We start from the raw sequence: 22,586 nt of genomic DNA on the forward strand, positions 1-22,586 counted from the left end.
TTCCTGACTGTTCAGTCTATGGCTTTGTGTCTTAAAATACCCACCTTTCGTCTTCCAAGCACTCGCATCTAGGAGGCTGAGGTATAGTATCAATATTTGAGTGATTGAAATGATGTTTTAGCCAGAGATAGAGCTGGGAGTGGATTTAACAGTTATTGGGGTGTTGAATACACACTAGAAGTTTTATACGCATCATCAAATTTATTTCTCAAAATAAAGCCATGATGTATATTTTACCAGTGAAGATTTTTCAAGGTCACACGGTTAGTAAAACCCAACCTGGGACTGAACTTCTGCTGTAAGTATGGAGCTATCCAGCAGTCCATGAAACATTAGTACATCATTACATCAATTTAGTGGGCAGCACACATTATCTTTAAAAGTGAAGGAGTTCGGAGTAGAAAATATCACCAGGCAGTTCACATAATTAGGGAAACTATTGTTTAATGAACACAAAGTTTGTTTCTTGTATATATACATTTATTAATCTAATGTGTGCATTGAGTCCCCGTGCATAAGATATTATTCATAATGTGGCTGGTAGTCAAAGAAATTTGGAGCTATTGTGTTAGGTGACCTTCTGAGACACTTTCTAAGCCTTCATCTGATGTATTGTTTACCAGACCCACTGTGCTGATACTTTTCCAGGAAAATGCCTGATCCTTCAAAAACAAAATTTATTTTGGGTTAGAACAGGAAGTAGCTATTTCTGTGGCAAAAATTAGTGCTAGCATATAATTCTTGCTGCCCATGATTTGTGTGTGTGTGTGTGTGTTTGTGTTTCTGGTAAGAGTACACTTTGCCATTTTTTTTCTTCCTTATCGTACCACAAAACTCTCTAAAACAAGGTGAAATTCCAGTCAGTCTCACAATGAGATGAGAATTGAAAACTCAAAGTACAAAAGATAAACTCCACTGGTTAAGAGGGCAGATCCTGGAGTTCCACAGATGTATTTCAAATCCAGGCTTTGTCACTCAGAATCCTGGGCAAATTACTATTTAATTTTCTTACCTGCAAAATAGTAATAATAGTAGCAACTAACTCTTTGTGATAATGTTAAGATTAAAATGAGGTATACATGTAAAGTCATTATCAAAGTGTTTTGCCTGACAACAAAAACTTAATAACTATTAGCTATTAGTCTACTACTTCTGAAGTAAGACTTTAACAGAAACCAATAATTCCAAAGGAAATTTTGAACTGTTACAGGCAGGAAATGAACCATTTTGCTTTCTTGTTAGACTTTTTAAGTTGCCCTTTTCTTAGAATATACTAAACAATGAAGTAACACTGTTCAAATTTTATATTTTAAATAACTGTTGGCTGATTTTCGATAAAAGGAAAATGGAAGAAAATTGTGTGTTCTTCACTTTTGTTTCTTTATATTCAAACTGCCATGGCTATACAAACCACACCTCTCCATAATCTGTGTAATTCTAATTTAACTTACATAACGTTGTGGGGTGAAGTGAAGAGCCAGAAATTGTGTGGAATTGTATAGGAAAGCTGGATTTCTTTACTAAGACCCAAACCCCAAGAGCTGGTGCTCCTAGAGTATTTTGAGTCTGAAAATGACTCAGACTCCTGAGTGTATCACTGATAAAAGGATTCTTGATATTGCAGGACAACCTGGACCCATCCATGTTCCCAATGCAGAAGGGCTCCCTCAACCTCCTGAGGCAGAAATGGGAATCTTGTGATTATCAGAGAAGTGAGTGTCATCCCAGGGACAGCCATTGTACAATTTTCCAGCCTCAGGAAAGCAAATTGCTTGCGCCTGAAGGAGAGGTAGTATCAGCACCTCAATCTTTGGATCCCACAAGTCTGCCCTACAGTACAGGGGAAGAGATGTGGAGTTCGAAGCCGGAAGAGAAGGATTCTGTGGACAAGAGTAACAACACCAGGGAATATGGTCGGCCAGAAGTGCTGAAGGAGGATTCCCTGAGCAGTCGGCGCAGGATTGAACGCTTTTCCATTGCCCTTGATGAGCTGAGGAGTGTGTTTGAGGCTCCTAAGAGTGGAAACAAACCAGCTGAGTACGGTGGAAAGGTAAGGAGCCATTGATTGAGAGTCTATGTTTACATATGACTTCCTTGCCTAGCCTACCATTTATTACTAAGCATGTAATCTTTCCCCCCGCCAGTATTCTAGACAGATGTCCTGAAGCCGATGTGTAATGCAGTGTGAAATGTGACATCCTCTCCTATTAATTTTCTCTAAGGTCTGCTTCAATGTGGACTTGACTTCCTTTTTCTTCCATAAAAACAATATTGATATGCCCTCTTATGTTGATGTTTCTGTATGTATGTGCCTTATTTCTACAACTACGTTGTAAATTCCTTAGAGGCAGGAACAATTTCTAACCACTCTTTGTGCCTCAAACATTTAACAAATGGTGTTGCTTTTAGCCAAAGCTCCATGAGGATTTATCAGTAATGATGCTGACATGGAATAAATGAAGGCTTTGGAACCACAGTGATCCAGGTTTTAATCCTAAAGCCTGCCATTAACTTCTCTAGCTGAATGACACTTAACCTTAGAAATACAAATGTCTTAATCTGCTACTTTACATGGATCTTATGAAGATTATAGGTAACATTTTAAACACTAAGGGTAGAGTCTGGAATATTTTGTGGTAGGTGATGATCATTCCTCAGTGATTATGGTGTACTATAATGTCACATATAAAATATGTCTATTAGCTAAAGAGGGCATTTAGCCAAATTTAGGAAACAGGATTAGCAACATTATTAACTAAGACCACATTTATACTTTTGCGGTAATTAAAAGCAATTACTATTTCAACTGGAATTACTTGAATTTATTTCACTCATTAGGGCCTGTACATAATAGAAATTATAGTTGAATTTTGCAAAGAATTAATACATGATCTCAGGTTTTCCTTTAGAAAGCAAAGTCCACGCTTTTTTGTTTGTTTGATTGTTTTTTTGTTTTATTTGGTTTTCACCTAATGACAGTTTTATCAGAAAGGTACACAGTCGTATTCTTGTTAATGGATAATTAGCCTTCATAGAAGCCATCACAGAAATAGAATATTTTTGAAAATCAATTATTTTACTAATTCTTGCTTCCAGTTGTCTTATTGGGAAATATGTAGTAAGCCATCCTTCTTGAAAATCAAGTAACTCTAATTTGTTTAATGATAATAAGAGATATGAAGTTATATTTATGAGGTTATGTAGAGACTACAGAATCTCTTAAAACATGCAACCATTTGCTGATCCCTGATTTGAAGATTTTCTTTTTCTATTTCACAGGTGCAATCATTTTTGTTTATACTTTTATATCTTTTAGATGAATGTTTAGGGATTGGGGTACACAACAAAGATAGTTACAATGTCATTTATTTTTTATCTTTGTAAATTAAGAAAAGTAAAGCCACAGAAAATAATTTCCATTCAATCCCTCTTGACTTTACTGTAATAATTTTGAATATTTACCCAAGATAACTGACAAAAGAAATGACCAAGGTAGAAAAAGTCGTCTATATAAATGATGTAATGTAACCTACTCTCATCTGGATGAGATGCAACTGCTTATATACAACAGTAAGATAATAACACATTAATGAGTTTCTGATTTAAATGTGAGATTACTAATATTCAGCATGATAGGTGGTTTGCCATCTAGTAACTATAAAAATAATTATGAAAAGAACCAGATATATTAAAACCACCATTTGCCTTGTAAAAATGAGATTAGTTTAGTATATGTAACATACTGTTTTAAATATCCTAAGGTTCTATGTCATAATATGGTATTTCCATAAATGTATGAAACAAGGTTGATGGATTTAAAAATTTCTTATCCATAGAAGACACATAGTTTTTAGAATCAGTTCACAAAAAAAGTGTTAGGAATGTTTGCAAACTTATTTTCTATATAAATTCTACAACAAAGGGGACGAGGAGAAAAAGAACAAAGAGAGCTCAATGAGGAATTAACTTGTTTTCTCCAAGTGAAGTATTTTGTTATATTATTAGGCATGTAAAAAGAATTCTAGTTCAACCAAATTTAAAATTATATATTTCACCCCATAGCATATTGATTACATACAACTTAATTATTAGTTTTTATAGATGCTTTTTTCTTTCTCATGTGACTACTTTATATTATTTAGTGCTTCATTATAAAGTCATGATATAATATTTATTTGCATAAATCATCTAAAAAATTCTGGCTACTCTATAACTCTGACATTTATGTTTTTTGAGACTACTGAGATATTGGGGATGTGGAAAAAGGTATTCAATATTTATTAAACTTAAAGCAAGGACAGAAAATAATTTCAAATAAGGAAAATCTTTTGTAACTAGTAAATCATCTCAACCATAAGGAACAATAAACTACATTTTAATGTTGCTATGGAAGGAAACCCTTCAGTAGTAGGCACTTGGTTTATAAAATTTGTAAAATAATTGCAGTAAATTGAGAGCTTGTAGAATTTTTAAAGGTATGGAATATCGTGTATATGTACATCTATTTACAAGTAAATAGACATACATAAACATACACATATACACATACATTATGTATACATACATGCATATATAACTATACATTTTAATGTATTTTTATATAATATATGTGTATGTGTATGTATATTTACTTGTAAGTAGATGTACATTACAATAGACATTATAATGTATGTGTATATGTATATGTACACAGTTTTTAATCTAAATATTTTTCAGCAAACAAAGGGGAAATGTACATATTCATTATAATGTGTCTGTTTAAGGAGAGTTTGGTCAGACAAACATTTATTACTAGAAAAAGGGATCTACAGACTCTTAATGTTTTTCTCAAAAGGCCAGGCACAGTGGCTCACACCTGTTTTCCCAGCACTTTGGGAAACCTGAGGCAGGAGAATCACTTGTTGCCAGGGGTTCCAGAACAGCCCAGGCAACCCATAGCAAAACCCTGTCTCTACAAATATTTAAAAACTAGCTGGCTTGGGAGTCTGAGTCAGGAGGATCCCTTGATCCCATGAGCAAGGGGTTGCTATGATTGCACCACTGCATTCCATCCTGGGTGACAGAGTGAGACTCCATCAATAAGCAAACAAACATTATTTTCTATAAGTGTGCAAGGTCATTAAAAAGAGATATCAATACCTAAAACAGTCACTATTTCAGAGTCTTTGTTAAAACAATTTATTCTAACATAATTACAATAGAAAATCAGTGAGAAATTCTTAAAATAATTTTTTCATTTTATAATTTTCCAAAATGAACACAACCTATTGTCATTTCTAAAACACCATGTTAAAACAACTTAGAATGAAGATTTAAACTGAATATTTTCATGCTTATGAGGCAGACTATAATCCAAAGATACAAATTCGTGTAAGCATCCTCTCAAATAAATGACATAGAACATAATTTTAAGAGTTTTTAAGAATTTACAAAAATTTGTTGCAAAATTACAGGTCTTTGAGAGAATGTCACATCCATTTGTAAAACTAAGAAATACCTTGTTATTATGTAATTTGTCAATAGCATTTGCTGTGTAACAAACCACCCCAAAAATAGTGGGGTTAGAACATTAGTGGCTTTACAATTGTTTAGAAGTCTCTGATGAGCTTGGCAGTTCATCTGATCTTGTCTGATGTCACTCATGTGTCTATGGTCAGCTGCAAAGTCAGCGGGAATCTGGCTATTCTAGGATGACAACAGAGCTGGGACAACTCAACTCTGCATCTCTCCTCCTCAGGTAGGTTACCCAGATGTATGGACAGGTCATAGAAGTTTTTTTTTTTTTTTTAATACTCTAAGTTCTAGGGTACATGTGCACAACGTGCAGGTTTGTTACATATGTATACATGTGCCGTGTTGGTGTGCTGCACTCATTAACTCGTCATTTACATTAGGTATATCTCCTAAGGCTATCCCTCCCCCCCTCCCCCCACCCCATGACAGGCCCCAGTGTGTGATGTTCCCCTTCCTGTGTCCAAGTGTTCTCATTGTTCAATTCCCACCTATGAGTGAGAACATGCAGTGTTTGGTTTTTTGTCTTTGCGTTAGTTTGCTGAGAATGATGGTTTCCAGCTTCATCTGTGTCCCTACAAAGGACATGAACTCATCCTTTTTTATGGCTGCATAGTATTCCATGGTGTATATGTGCCACATTTAGTTAATCCAGTGTATCATTGATGGACATTTGCATTGGTTCCAAGTCTTTGCTATTGTGAATAGTGCCGCAGTAAACATATGTGTGCATATGTCTTTATAGCAGCATGATTTATAATCCTTTGGGTGTATACCCAATAATGGGATGGCTGGGTTAAATGGTATGTCTACTTCTAGATCCTTGAGGAATTGCCATACTGTCTTCCACAGTTGTTGAACTAGTTTACAGTCCCACCAACAGTGTAAAAGTGTTCCTATTTCTCTATGTCCTCTCCGGCACCTGTTGTTTCCTGACATTTTAATGATCACCATTCTAACTGGTGTGAGATGGTATCTCATTGTGGTTTTGATTTGCATTTCTCTGATGGCCAGTGATGATGAGCATTTTTTCATGTGTGTGTTGGCTGCATAAATGTCTTCTTTTGAGAAGTGCCTGTTCATATCCTTCGCCCACTTTTTGATGGGGTTGTTTGTTTTTTTCTTGTAAGTTTGTTTGAGTTCTTTGTAGATTCTGGATATTAGCCCTTTGTCAGATGAGTAGATTGCAAAAATTTTCTCCCATTCTGTAGGTTGCCTGTTCACTCTGATGGTAGTTTCTTTTGCTGTGCAGAAGCTCTTTAGTTTAATTAGATCCCATTTGTCAATTTTGGCTTTTGTTGCCACTGCTTTTGGTGTTTTAGACATGAAGTCCTTGCCCATGCCTATGTCCTGAATGGTATAGCCTAGGTTTTCTTCTAGGGTTTTTATGGCTTTAGGTCTGACATTTAACTCTTTAATCCATCTTGAATTAATTTTTCATATAAGGTGTAGGGAAGGGATCCAGTTTCAGATTTCTACATATGACTGGCTAGTTTTCCTAGCACCATTTATTAAATAGGGAATCCTTTCCCCATTTCTTGTTTTTGTCAGGTTTGTCAAAGATCAGATGGTTGTAGATGTGTGCTATTATTTCTGAGGGCTCTGTTCTGTTCCATTGGTCTATATCTCTGTTTTGGTACCAGTACCATGCTGTTTTGGTTACTATAGTCTTGTAGTATAGTTTGAAGTCAGGTAGCGTGATGCCTCCAGCTTTGTTCTTTTGGCTTAGGATTGTCTTGGCAATGTGGGCCCTTTTTTGGTTCCATATGAAGTTTAAAGTAGTTTTTTCCAATTCTGTGAAGAAAGTCATTGGTAGCTTGATGGGGATGGCATTGAATCTATAAATTACCTTGGGCAGTATGGGATTTTCATGATATTGATTCTTCCTATCCACGAGCATGGAATGTTCTTCCATTTGTTTCTGACCTCTTTTATTTCGTTGAACAGTGATTTGTAGTTCTCCTTGAAGAGGTCCTTCACATCCCTTGTAAGTTGGATTCCTAAGTATTTTATTCTCTTTGAAGCAATTGTGAATGGGAGTTCACTCATGATTTGGCTCTCTGTTTGTCTGTTATTGGTGTATAAGAATGCTTGTGATTTTTGCACATTGATTTTGTATCCTGAGACTTTGCTGAAGTTGCTTATCAGCTTAAGGAGATTTTGGGCTGAGACAGTGGGGTTTTCTAGATATACAATCAGGTCATCTGCAAACAGGGATAATTTGACTTCCTCTTTTCCTAATTGAATACCCTTAATTTCTTTCTCTTGCCTGATTGCCCTAGCCAGAACTTCCAACACTATGTTGAATAGGAGTGGTGAGAGAGGGCATCCCTGTCTTGTGCCAGTTTTCAAAGGGAATGCTTCCAGTTTTTGCCCATTTAGTATGATATTGGCTGTGGGTTTGTCATAAATAGCTCTTATTATTTTGAGATACATCCCATCAATACCTAGTTTATTGATTTAGCATGAAGTGCTGTTGAATTTTGTCAAAGGCCTTTTCTGCATCTGTTCAGATAATCATGTGGTTTTTATCTTTGGTTCTGTTTATATGCTGGATTACATTTACTGATTTGCGTATGTTGAACCAGCCTTGCATCCCAGGGATGAAGCCCACTTGATCATGGTGGATAAGCTTTTTGATGTGCTGCTGGATTCGGTTTGCCAGTATTTTACTGAGGATTTAGGCATCAATGTTCATCAGAGATATTGGTCTAAAATTCTCTTTTGTTGTTGTGTCTCTGTCAGACTTTGGTATCGCGATGATGCTGGCCTCATGAAATGAGTTAGGGAGGATTCCCTCTTTTTCTATTGATTGGAATAGTTTCAGAAGGAATGGTACCAGCTTCTCCTTGTACCTCTGGTAGAATTCAGCTGTGAATCAGTCTGGTCCTGGACTTTTTTTGGTTGGTAGGCTATAAATTATTGCCTTAATTTCACAGCCAGTTATTAGTCTATTCAGGGATTCAACTTCTTCCTGGTTTAGTCTTGGGAGGGTGTATGTGTCAAGGAATTTATCTATTTCTTCTAGATTTTCTAGTTTATTTGCATAGAGGTGTTTATAGTATTCTCTGATGGTATTTTGTATTTCTGTGGGATCGGTGGTGATATTCCCTTTATCATTTTTTATGGCATCTATTTGATTCTTCTCTCTTTTCTTCTTTATTAGTCTTGCTGATGGTCTATCAATTTTGTCGATCCTTTCAAAAAACCAGCTCCTGGATTCGTTGATTTTTTGAAGGGTTTTTTGTGTCTCTATTTCCTTCAGTTCTGCTCTGATCCTAGTTATTTCTTGCCTTCTGCTAGCTTTTGAATGTGTTTGCCCTTCCTTCTCTAGTTCTTTCAATTGTGATGTTAGGGTGTCAACTTTAGATTTTTCCTGCTTTCTCTTGTAGGCATTTAGTGCTGTAAATTTCCCTCTACACACTGCTTTGAATGTGTCCCAGAGATTCTGGTATGTTGTGTCTTTGTTCTCATTGGTTTCAAAGAACATCTTTATTTCTGCCTTCATTTCGTTATATACCCAGTAGTCATTCAGGAGCGGGTTGTTCAGTTTCCATGTAGTTGAGCGGTTTTGAGTGAGTTTCTTAATCCTGAGCTCTAGTTTGATTGCACTGTGGTCTGAGAGACAGGTGGTTATAATTTCTGTTCTTTTACATTTGCTGAGGAGTGCTTTACTTCCAACTATGTGGTCAATTTTGGAATAAGTGTGATGTGGTGCTGAGAAAAATGTATATTCTGTTGATTTGGGGTGGAGAGTTCTGTAGATGTCTATTAGGTCCGCTTGTTACAGAGCTGAGTTCAATTCCTGGATATCTTTGTTAACTTTCTGTCTCATTGATCTGTCTAATGTTGACAGTGGGGTTTTAAAGTCTCCCATTATTATTGTGTGGGAGTCTAAGTCTCTTTGTAGGTCACTCAGGACTTGCTTTATGAATCTGGGTGCTCCTGTATTGGGTGCATATATATTTAGAGTAGTTAGCTCTTCTCGTTGAATTGATCCCTTTACCATTACGTAATGGCCTTGTCTCTTTTGAGCTTTGTTGGTTTAAAGTCTGTTTTATCAGAGACTAGGATTGCAACCCCTGCCTTTTTTTGTTTTCCATTTGCTTGGTAGATCTTCCTTCATCCCTTTATTTTGAGCCTATGTGTGTCTCTGCCCATGAGATGGGTCTCCTCAATACAGCAACCTGATGGGTCTTGACTCTTCATCCAATTTTCCAGTCTGTGTCTTTTAATTGGAGCATTTAGCCCATTTCAATTTAAGGTTAATATTGTTATGTGTGAATTTGATCCTGTCATTATGATGTTAGCTGGTTATTTTGCTCATTAGTTGATGCGGTTTCTTCCTAGTATTGATGGTCTTAATAATTTGTCATGTTTTTGCTGTCGCTGGTACTGGTTGTTCCTTTCCATGTTTAGTGCTTCCTTCAGGAGCTCTTTTAGGGCAGGCCTGGTGGTGACAAAATCTCTCAGCATTTGCTTGTCTGTAAAGTATTTTATTTCTCCTTCACTTATGAAGCTTAGTTTGGCTGGATATGAAATTCTGGGTTGAAAATACTTTTCTTTAAGAATGTTGATTTGGCCTCCACTCTCTTCTGGCTTGTAGAGTTTCTGCCGAGAGATCCACTGTTAGTCTGATGGGCTTCACTTTGTGAGTAACCCGACCTTTCTTTCTGTCTGCCCTTAACATTTTTTCCTTCATTTCGACTTTGGTGAATCTGACAATTATGTGTCTTGGAGTTGCTCTTCTCGAGGAGTATCTTTGTGGCATTCTCTGTATTTCCTGAATTTGAATATTGGCCTGCCTTGCTAGGTTGGGGAAGTTCTCCTGGATAATATCCTGCAGAGTGTTTTCCAACTTGGTTCCATTTTCCCCGTCACTTTCAGGTACACCAATCAGACATAGATTTGGTCTTTTCACATAGTCCCATATTTCTTGGAGGCTTTGTTCCTTTCTTTTTACTCTTTTTTCTCTAAACTTCTCTTCTCGCTTCATTTCATTCATTTGTTCTTCAATCACTGATACCCTTTCTTCTAGTTGATCGAATCGGCTATTGAAGCTTGTGCATTCGTCACATAGTTCTCGTGCCATGTTTTTCAGCTCCATCAGGTCATTTAATGACTTCTCTACTTTGGTTATTCTAGTTAGCCATTAGTCTAATCTTTTTTCAAGGTTTTTATCTTCTTTGCAATGGGTTTGAACTTCCTCCTCTAGCTTGGAGAAGTTTGATCGTCTGAAGCCTTCTTCTCTCAACTCGTCAAATTCATTCTCCATCCAGCTTTGTTCTGTTGCTGGCGAGGAGCTGCATTCCTTTGGAGGGGGAGAGGTGCTCTGAGTTTTAGAATTTTCAGCTTTTCTGCTGTTTTTTCCCCATCTTTGTGGTTTTATCTACATTTGGTCTTTGATGATGGTGACATACAGATGGGGATTTGGTGTGGATGTCCTTTCTGTTTGTTAGTTTTCCTTCTAACAGTCAGGACTCTCAGCTGCAGGTCTGTTGGAGTTTGCTGGAGGTCCACTCGAGACCGTTTCCCTGGGTATCAGCAGCAGAGGCTGCAGAACAGTGAGTATTGCTGAACAGCAAATGTTGCTGCCTGATCATTCCTCTGGAAGCTTCGTCTCAGAGGGTTACTCGGCCGTGTGAGGTGTCAATCTGCCCCTACTGGAGGATGCCTCCCAGTCAGGCTACTCAGGGGTCAGGGACCCACTTGAGGAGGCAGTCTATCCATTCTCAGATCTCAAACTCCGTGCTGGGAGAACCACTACTCACTTCAAAGCTGTCAGACAGGGATGTTTAAGTCTGCAGAAGTTTCTGCTGCCTTTTGTTCAGCTATGCTTTGCCCCCCAGAGGTGGAGTCTACAGAGGCAGGCAGGCCTCCTTGAGCTGCGGTGGGCTCCACCCAGTTCGAGCTTCCTGGCCACTTTGTTTACCTACTTAAGCCTCAGCAATGGTGGGCACCCCCCCCCCCCAGCCTCGCTGCTGCCTTGCAGATCAATCTCAGACTGCGGTGCTAGCAATGAGTGAGGCTCCGTGGGCGTGGGACCCTCTGAGCCAGGCATGGGATATAATCTCCTGGGGTGCCATTTGCTCAGCTGGAAATGCAGAAATCACCCATCTTCTGTGTCGCTCACGCTGGGAGCTGTAGACTGGAGCTGTTCCTATTCAGCCATCTTGGAACCGCCCCAGGTCATAGAAGTTTTAAGAGAGAAAGTAGGAACACATGAGGCCTGTGGAGGGCTATATTCAGAATTTGCACATTACTTCTCCATGTTCTATTGATCAAAGTGGCCACAAAGCAAGCCAGATTAAAAGTGTACTGACATAGACTCCACCTCTTGACAGAAGGAAATGCAAATTTGCATTTGCAAAGGGAAATAGATACTAGGAGAAGAATAATTGCAGCCATTTTGCAAACACTCTCCCACAGGTAAGTTTAACTAAATACATGCAAAAATCAGGATCATTTAATGTATCATGAATTAACCATAAACAGTAGAAGGATCCAAGTTGACAAGTATTTGTGGATGAAACTCATGACTTATTCTTCACTTAGATTCAAGTAAGTGACTACTCTGGTGATAGTTATTTTGATAGGCAGAATAACAAAAGTCTCCCAAAGATATTTACATTCTACTCCCCAGAGCATACAAGTATGTTATCCAACATGTCAAAAGGGACGTTACAAATGTGATTAATAATCTTGAAATGCAAAGATTTTCATGAATTATCCCAGATGAAAACTGAGTCTTTATCAGAGGAACACAGGATGTCAGATTGAGAGAGTCGGAGGAGTTATGATGAAAGAAGCAAAGGCTGACATGATGCAGGGCCATGACCCAGAAAATTGATGCAGCCCTTAGGAACTGGAAAACGCAAGGAAATGGATGCTCCCCAAGGGCTTTGGACACCTGGAGTTTAACCTGTGAAATTTATTTCTGAATTTGACTTCTGGAACTCTAAGATAATAAATGTGTGCCATATTTTTTTTGTTTTGTTTTGTTTTTTGAGATGGAGTCTCGCTCTGTCACCCAGGCTGGAGTGCAGCAGTTTGATCTCGGCTCACTGCAAGCTCTGCCTCCCAGGTTTACGCCATTCTCCTGTCTCAGCCTCCCGAGTAGCTGGGACTACAGGTGCCCGCCACCTTGCCCGGCTAATTTTTTGTATTTTTAGTAGAGATGGGATTTCACCATGTTAGCCAGGATGATCTTGATCTCCTGACCTCGAGTGATCCACCTGCCTCAGCCTCCCAAAGTTCTGGGATTACAGGCGTGAGCCAACACACCTGGACTAAACGTGTGCTGTTTTAAGCCACAGTGTTTATGGCAATTTGCTATGGAAGCAATAGGAAGCTAATACAGTTACATTATAGGTCTTTTAAACATTGTTTAAAAATGGTTGGATAATATATGATTGTGGAGTTTTTCTCTATTCTTCCCTGACAAGCATATTTCCATATTTCAAAGTCAGGTCTTTGATTTTTTTCTATTTGTAGTTAGTAGTATGAATGCATATAATATTATGTAATCAAGAAACTTCAGTAAATCATAATGTCTTAGTTTTAATTCATCTGTCTTGATCTTCAGCACATAGTCACCTTAAAGATTGAATTAATCAGAAGAAGAAGTTTATTTGTTTGTTTGTTTTTTAAAAAAAGACATATTAGTCTGGGAGCGGTGGCTCACACCTGTAATCCCAGCACTTTGGGAGGCCGAGGCAGGTGGATCATGAGGTCAGGAGATCGAGACCATCCTGGCTAACACGATGCAACCACGTCTAGACTAAAAATACAAAAAAAAAATTAGCCAGGTGTGGTGGTGGGCGCCTGTGGTCCCAGCTACTTGGGAGGCTGAGGCAGGAGAATGGCATGAATCTGGGAGGTGGAGCTTGCAGTGAGCCGAGATCTGCCACTGCACTCCAGCCTGGGCGACACAGCAAGACTCCGTCTCAAAAAAAAAAAAAAAAAAAAAAAGAAAAAGAAATATTATAAAGGAACCTATGAACACAAAAAGCATGTGGGATACACTTGCTTCAATTCATATTTTCTGCTGTTGGGTGATATAGATTATGTGAAGAATGTATACAGTTTTTAAATAAAATGAACTTAACTCTGGTTGCCCAGTTTAGAATAGATGCAGTGTTTAAGTTAATTTGGAACAGAACAGGAAGGTGAAAGTTCATCCTTCTTCTTTGAAGCTTCCAGTTGCTGTCCATAGGTATTAGAGAATGAGGCCACTAAAAAGCCTCCCTAAAGAATCCTTTCAGCCTCCTGTATGTTCTCACCATTAATAAGGGGGTTGACTTTTCTATTAATTAATCTATTAATCTAATTATTCTATTCATGTCTTTTAGACTCCAAATGGTAAAGCATCTGATCATTACAGTAGATTACTTAATGATTTCCTGTGTTTTCAATGCACACTTATGATCTTCCCCCAAACCACACTCACTGATATAATCAGGTTGAGTTTACCTAATTCTCAATAAATACTGTTTCTATCATTTATTTAGGCCCCAGACTTTTGACAAAGACTATTCAAACATGAGCTGAACTGTATCAAAAATAGGAAGCACCATCACCATATACAAGTTGTACTTCCTTGGGATGCATTGATTTAATCTATTGCATAATTGGAGGCATGGAGAAAACCATGAAGAAAAATGCTAAGGGACCATGAACCTACATGTGCATCAATGATTAAATAGGACATAAATAATTAAAGATGCTATAGTTTTCAGCATATGTGAGTGTCATTCACTCCACTAATCAGAGCCTCTGGTTTTTCATTTAATGACCAATCTGTCCTCTACTTTTTAGTTCTGCATAATATCAGGCATTCAAAAGCATGGCTTACATTTTGGCTTCCACTACATAAAATCATTTCATTAGATGCTAGAATTTATCTTTGCTCCTTAAACCCAGACATGTGGGACTAGGGGATTAATTTATCTCTAATCTCAGAGCAGCAAGCAGTACTTCTTCTCAGGCAGTTACCTCTGTCAGCCCATTCTGACTCCCCATTCCCCACCCTCTCCTCTCATCAGTGTTTCTGAGGTAACTTCTGTCAAGCATGATGTATTTCTGTAAAAGCATTTAACAGGACAGAAGTTATTAGAATCTTGAAAATGATTACTGAAAAATATATGTCTACCAAACTCTCAAAAATATATAGAAAAATTAAAATGCAGCTTAATATTAGTATAGAGAAAAATAAAAAATAAGGATTATTCTCATAGGAAGAGTTTTAGAGATCTTTGAAGAAATAAAATATTTCTCCTTTGCCTGAAAAAATGGCAAATAGTTTTTTATAGAGCTGAAATGTACAGTTTGATAAAAGTGATCATTTTTGGTTAGAGAATGTATTATACAGAATAATAATTTTCTTTTCAGCATGGCATATGAGAACTTAACATTTGATGACAAAAGTTCAGCTGGAAACCTTGGCTCAGCAACTTTCTCATTGTATAAACTCAAATGACTTATTTTAACTCATTAATCCTTAGTTTTCATATCTGTAAAATAAGGAGATTAATACACCACCTAATTTTTCTGAAGACAAATAATGCAACACCTGAAGGAGAAGAGGCATTTAAGAGGCAGCACCTAATGAAATATAAAAAGTAGCACCAAGGTAGCACTACATGAATATTCCTTCTATTTTCGTTCCTCTGTTATCTCTGTAACCCACTATATGTCCTTCAGAGAAAATATTTTATCTCAGTGGACTTCTGTTTTCTCATCTATAAAGGAAGAGACTAACACTCTATGGTTTCTAAAAGTGGAAAGAAGCTTTGGGCAAAGAAGATTTTATACATCTGACAACACCTTCGTCTTGCAGCCTGCAGAGGTCCCACTGAGAAGAGCCCTCACTGAGTAATCTTTTAACATAAGTTACAATCCCATTTTGAGATGATGAGACAAAGAGCTGCAGTTTGTTCAATTATAGTTTTCAAAGCTTTATTAAAACCATAGACAGAGAGAGGACATCAAGAATACCGCGAGGATGGGCCATAATGTTTTATTTCATTTTATGCAGCTTTTTCTTTGTGGTGTAATTTGTTTTTAAAAATAATGTTAGTGTTCTTTTCACCCACTTACATGTTTGCTATTTTACTGCTTCCTGTCCAGTGTTTTATTTTAGTTAGAAAAAGAAATAGCTGGCAAAACTCCCAACTAAACATATTTGCATGGCCTTTAAGACTTTCAGAGGAAACTGCCATCTCTTCCCATTTGTTTGTGGTAGTGATATGTGCAGTCACAATATGACACTGTTAAAAAAAAAAAGCCAGTAACCATACAAGGATGTTAAGCAATATTGACTTGCCTTCCACTGGGAAAACTGCTGTCAGCTCATGGATTGGCATTCTTTGACATTTTACTCAGTAGACTAGTGAGGGTTTTTGCCCTTGTGTTATAAGAATATTGATACTAGCTCTACTGCCCCTGTTAGGAGCCCGATTCTTTTACCCAGCCTATCTTTCTTAGATGTTTATTCAACATTTCTAGTCACTGGTTGAATTAATTTAACAAATACCGTAAGTGACTATTTTTTTCCTTTCCCTGTCCTCCTATGACTGATTTTCATACTCTATCAGGTTCTTTTCAAAAATCTTCTCACAAGCAGAATAATTGTAGAAGATGCCTTCCTACATGAGCTTATCTGATGTTTTTTCATGGTTACAGATTTTTGGCAGGAATACCACAGGAGTGATGCTGTTTTGCCCTTCGCAGTACATCATATCTGGAAATACAGTAAATCAATAAGTCTGATTACTGGTGATACTGTGTGATCACTTAGGTGAGGTAATTTCTTCCAGGTTTTCCACAGTAAATGGAAGTTTATCCACCAGGAATGTTGTGGAAAATATTCCTGTGTTAACTTCTTGCAGGATGAGCTTTGGTTTGCTGGTGGACTTCCCGTGATTAGACTTAGAGACTGTCTTTGAAGTGTCATCTCCATGGCTCTTGGTGGATCCAAAGGCCCCAGTTAAAGACCAAAATTTTCCCTATTTATTCATCCTTCTAAAGGTAATGTTTTCTTTATTTCTCCCTTTAGTTTATTCTGCTTGTGAGAAGATTCTCGAAAAGAAAATGATAGAGTATGAAAATCAGTCATAGGATGACAGGGAAGGGAAAAAATATTCACTTATGGTATTTGTTAAATTAATTCAGCCAGTGAATAGAAATATTGAAGGAACATATTTATCTTATTTATCTTTTAAAACATATTTATCTTTGGAAAGACTGAGAAATTACCATGGGTCGGAAAAAACTAAAGTGGCATGAAAACTAAATGGAATGTGGAAACTTCCACCAAATCCTGGGCCAGAAAAGAGGACATCAATGGGAAAGGTGGTAAAAGTCAAATAAGGTTTAATTATTTCCTGCTTTTAAAATTGTACTATGGTTAAATAAGATATTAAGATTAGGGAACATTTATTCCTTTTGTGGGGAAATGATCCTCTGAGGACCATCTTTCTTAATTCCATGTGTTCCCCTGTCTGGTCTCCCTCATCTAAACCGGTCTCAGGGTTGATATAGCAAAGCTTTCTTTAATGGAGTTGCCCCTTTTTATTCCTCTGACTAAGTCCTTTCTCTGAACTTAGAAGTATGTAATCTTTTGTCAACTCTGAAATTCAAAATACTTAACGTAATGTGCAGGGCAGGTACTGACAGTTTGGAGTGGAGGTGGCTGTAAACAACAGGTACAGCCATCCATCCACTCTCTTCCTGGAGATCAAGCAAACTGCAGGCACCTAACCATGCCCTTGTTTATGATACATAATACAGTGTATTATGTATTTCATAATACATGGCACATAATACTCACTGTATTATATATGGGAAACAAATGGTTAACACATTTTCCTACGTGGAAAGATATTTCTTTATGTTTAATGTGTAGTGGTGAGTGAATGTTATAACTTCCAAACACCTGAAACAAATTCAAGCTCCATTAATGTTTCTCATCTACACCAACTACCAAATATGATGATTTATGGTACTTAATAGTGTACTAACTTGTTTTATGCGAATGTAAGTCATTTATTGGATGACATGAGACAAATTACTCTAAGGCATGGTAATGCAACGTAATGCATGCAGTGCTCTTTTTGCCCCATTTGTGGAACACTGTCAGGAACATACATTTAAATTAATCAACATGTTCTGATTTCAATGTCGATTAGATGTCAGATTTCTTTGTTATTAATGATACAACAATATAAAAATATTTCCATTTCTGATCACAATGATTTTATGACTTAAAATCTAATCCTTTTTCCATTTTACCTTTATTTTGAATGTTAGAAGCAATTTTTCCCTCATGTCTTGAAATATGTTCATTTGAAGTTCTCATTGAAAAGAAATTTCAAGTTATAAAAACAAGAAATAAAAACAAGAAATATAAACAAAAACCAGGAGCTCCACAGAGAAATTTTCTTTCTTTTTAATATATATGCAATGTGTGCATGGAAGCAGACACAGACACACATACCTACTGCACATATATCATTTAAAATTTCACATTTAAAGATAAAATCAAGAGGTTGCAGGTCATATGCACCAATGTCTCAAAAAATACTTATTTATCCAGCACCAGCAATTTTGTTTTCACCAACATATGTTTCAGGTCTGCCCTTTAGTTTATAGCTGTAGCCTTTTTTATAGGGCCCACAAATTTTTGAGTTTACCGTTGAATGCCTCGCCTCATGCTAACATTCGTCTGCCCTCAGGTGACTAGAGGAAGAGGCACTGTGCTACCACTAATAGCTAGCAAGTGGTAATGACTGAACACTGCGTATCTACCAGGTACTGAGCTGAAGGCCTCATGAGCGCTGCCCTCATTTAATAGTCACAATCATCATAGAAGGCAAGAACTATAATTATTCCCATTTAACAGCTATGATGTGGAGAAGTTAATTTGCCCAAGAGTACACCATTGGTAAGTAATAGAGCAGGGATTGGAATTCAAGTTGATCTCAGTCCAGAAGCCACAATATTAAAATACTGCTCTCTAGATGATCTCTGAATTTATGATGTCTGTTTCAAACAGAATCTCACAGCTGTGTTTCTGATATAAATGGATCCTGGACAGTGCCAGAAATCAAAGCAATTCTTAAACATTGAGTGTCCCCCAAACTACCACATACTCTTATTCTAAGATACACATGTTTTCATGTGTTAACATCTTTGAAACTGATATGCTTCTCATAGTCAGTGCCATTTCATAGTTTGTCAGGATTTTCCCCTTTTCTTACAGGTACATAAAATACTAAAGTTGTTTTACTTTTGATAAAATATGGCAAGAAATATAAATGTTTTGAATCATGTAAGAAAAATTATTGAACATTCACTGTGTTCCAGGAATGTACTAAACACTTTACTGACATTTTCTCTTTTAATTGTCATAACTAACCTGTGAGTTAAACTATGTAAACATCACCATATACAAATGAGAAAATATAGGCTGGGTGAACTGTTTTTGTCTTAGTTCCCACTGTCAGTTGGTGGTTGAAAAAGAAATCTAACCCAGTCAGGTGGAGTCCAGAGGCCTTACTCTTGGAGTAAGCTAGTTTTTGTATTTTGCCTATTTTGCTAACAGAGTTTAGAATAGCTAAATTGGTCTAATCTAATAAACAAGTAACTTTATGCAAAATAATTTTTACACTAACAAGAAGTTTATTTTTCTTTAAAAATCCCTCTTTTTCTCTTTCTTTCCTTTCAAATATCTCTGAATGTCTTTCTTTGGGCTCAAGTTGCACCACATGCATCTCTGCTTTCACCCCAATCCCTGAAAGAAAAAAAATTAAATAGCATGCTTTCTCTCCATATCGAATCAACCACTGTTGACTGCTTCAACTCACTTGAGTATATACCCAAGTGTGATTGCTGAATTGTATGGTAAGAGTATGTTTAGTTTGTAAGAAATTGCCAAACTGTTGTCCAAAGTCGTTGTACTCTTTTTCATTCCCCCCAGTAACAAATGAGAATTCTTATGGCTTCATATCCTTGCTATCATTTGGTGTTCTCAGTATTTCAAATTCCATTTCAAATGATTACTTAAGCATGGATGACTTCTATCTCATCTACATGGCAATCATTTGTCCCTCTGCTGGGAACATCCCTAGTTTACATACATCGCTCCATCATAATTATTAAAAATACCCCTTTCATTCTCCAAAGTGTCTGGATGATAAATTATTTCATCACCCAGCTTGAATATCCACTTGAATTATAAAGGAAAAATCACATTTCATTTTTTTCTTTCCCTCCTGGTTTTTAACAGAGTGCTAAGCATAGGGTATATAATCTTTCAGCACTTCAGGAATGGATGAATGGAAAATGCTTGTTGAAATGAGCTGGCTCCTTTCAGTGTCTACTCTTAGGTTATGTGCATTAGCATTGCATTATTTGTGCTGGGCTTCAAGGTCACCTAATTCTTCAGCCCACTCTGCCTAGAGCTGTACTCCTGCTCATCTGACAGCAGATCTTTGATAACTTGATGTTGATTGTCCCTTGCATATGGTCAGTGCAGGGTGAGTGATCTTTTCAGAGGCTTGTGCCAGCTCCTCTGGCTTGCACACCTGTCTTACCACTCTATATGCCTTACAGATGACATGGGTGAAAATGTGCAAGAAACAGATATGAAGGAATTAATGCTTCTTTCATTGGCCTTTTTTGAAAGTCTGAGACTGGATATTTTTTGAAAGTCTGAGACTAGATAATATTTTGGTAACAAGCTATGTCTGTTAGCCTTCCAAAGGACAAACTGTCTTCTTGATTCCAGTTTCCTTAGTGCATTCTTAGACCACGGCTTGAATATGCAGCTAGCTTCAGAAGCACCTTTCCTTCCCTGTTGCATTGACCCTCTGGGTAGAAGCTACCTCACGAACTGCACATCTACACTCAGGCCACAGGCCACTGCCCTCTGTAATGTGCTGAGATTTGTTGTTGTTTGACCTGTTTGTCCTACTGTAGAAAATGTTACATAATAATCAATGATAGCCCATTTCTTTTAAAATTATGAAGTGTTTCAGCCATAAAATATAAAATATGCATCTTTTTTGCAGCAGTGCCTCAAAGGTACAACAATGAGCATATTGTGACTCTCCAGTATTGAGGTCCTTTATGTACGAACTACTTATGAAGTTAAAAGATTTTTTTTTTGGCTAGCAAAATGGCTTGTGCTAATGTCCAGATTCTTCTTTTGCATAATATTTGACCCACATAACATAAGAGGTAATAAACTCAGCAGACTCAGAATTCAGAACAAATAATATATACTGCTGCATACACATACATATATACACACAACATTAAAAGTAAGCAAGCTAGAAATCCTGCAGCAAGCCGAGATCACACCACTGCACTCCAGCCTGGGCAACAGAGCGAGACTCCATCTCAAAAGAAAAAAAAAAGTAAGCAAACTAGAAATCCAGTTATTTTCTTTCTTCTTTTCTTTCCTTCCTTTTTTTTTTTTTTTAAAGAAAGGTAACCAGGGGTGATAGCATATTGCAGATTTTACTTAGTGTAATGATTTCTAGTACTCAGAGTGAAACTTTCATAGACATGCTGAATTATCCTATCTTCTTTATTATTCTTCATCACTGGATAAAAACAAGGTTTGATCCTCAAGGGTATTCAGCATCTGAGTTGCTTTTCTACTAAAATTAAAAAAAAAAGTGTAAGTGGCATTCCTATCATCTCAAAGAGAGTGAGAAATAAAGAATGAACTACTAAGAAGCACAAATCCTCTTTTCTTGTGATGCTATTGATAATAACTTAGGAGTGGTAGCTAAAGTACAGATGCTGTATAAGCAAAAATAAATCTGTACTAAATAGCTTTCATGTTTGAACGGTAAAAGTAACTGTAAAGTTACAATGAGTGTACTATAAACATTGCCATAGCAATGTGTTTTGCCTCGAGTTCTCACTGGAATTATTTGGTATATTGCTCAAAAGAGCCTGAATAGAATATATCTAATGAAATATTTTCCATTCATTATTCTCTACTGAGTGATGCTTTACCAAATGTAGAAATTCAAAACTATAAATTATTCCAAAAAATTATTCCAATTTCAGTATGGACATTACTAGTAAGTCCTCCTAGTATGAAATGATACTTTTAACAAGCAAATTTATTTCCAAAATAGATAGCCATTAAAAACAAGAGACTATCCAGTTTCCATAAAGATATGACCATTAAAGTGACTGAAGTAGAAAGATAAGAATCTTAAAGAAGAGAACTGCCTTCAGATATGATAAAATCAAACTCCCTCCAAAGTTTGGAAACCATGTTACATCCCAGACAGATGGTAGCCGAACTTCCCCTTAAATACTTGCAGTTTCAAGGAGTTCACACTTTTGCAAAGCAGTTTTTTTCTACTGTCAGTTTGCTCTCTTTCACTGAAGGTTAATCTTCATGTTGAGTAAAGTGTATCTCCTGGGAGCATCTACATTTCCAGTAAAGTTTTGGCCTTTAAAGCAACACAGGATATCTTCCATTTGTCACTATGGAAAATGACAGGCTATGTCTAACCTTGAGGGCTCAGACACAGCTTAGCAGTAGGAGGTGAGGTTGGAATACTCCTGAGTGATTTAAGAAGAGTCAGGGCCAAGCTTATATGTGACAAGGACATGATATGGCTCAGCAGGTTCAGACTAAGCAAAGACAGATATGCCCTGAAAAAAAATAAGCTGGACACTAATTAAGGAGTCTGAACTGAGTAGGTCAGTGGATATAGTTGAGTATCTTCCTTTGGAGATGTTTCAGAAATCTTTTTTTGTGTGTGGGCTCATCGGGAATACATTAGGAGATCCACTTGGGAGTTCCTGCAACTATAACAGAGACAGAAAACATTGACTGGTTTTCTTCCAAGTGTTGAAAGAAATACCTGGGTTAGGAAGTCTGAGGATTTAACAAGTGTGGGTTCCATCAGGCATGCTTTGCTGTCTTTCTTGAGTGCAGTTCATACTCTTCAGAATTGTTAGCACTCTGTGATACTGAGACAATGTGTCCCTTTTGAGGTTTTGCCTTTTCTGGTTAGGCTTCAAACCAAGGACATGGATCAGCT

At 37.1% G+C, this 22,586-nt stretch overlaps 1 protein-coding gene across 3 annotated transcripts in view; it reads left to right on the forward strand.

The window, feature by feature from the left end:
* XIRP2 (xin actin binding repeat containing 2) overlaps positions 1-22,586 on the forward strand; it is a 371,274-nt gene that overhangs the window by 13,361 nt on the left and 335,327 nt on the right. For all 3 annotated transcript variants that reach the window (NM_001199143.2, NM_152381.6, NM_001079810.4), the window contains exon 2: positions 1,625-2,050. In NM_001199143.2, the coding sequence (NP_001186072.1) occupies positions 1,643-2,050 (408 nt within the window). In that variant the 5' untranslated portion in view covers positions 1,625-1,642. The remainder of the gene's footprint in view (positions 1-1,624; positions 2,051-22,586) is intronic.

This window comes from Homo sapiens, chromosome 2 (assembly GCF_000001405.40).
Source record: "Homo sapiens chromosome 2, GRCh38.p14 Primary Assembly".
In the NCBI taxonomy this organism is placed as follows: Eukaryota; Metazoa; Chordata; class Mammalia; order Primates; family Hominidae; genus Homo; species Homo sapiens.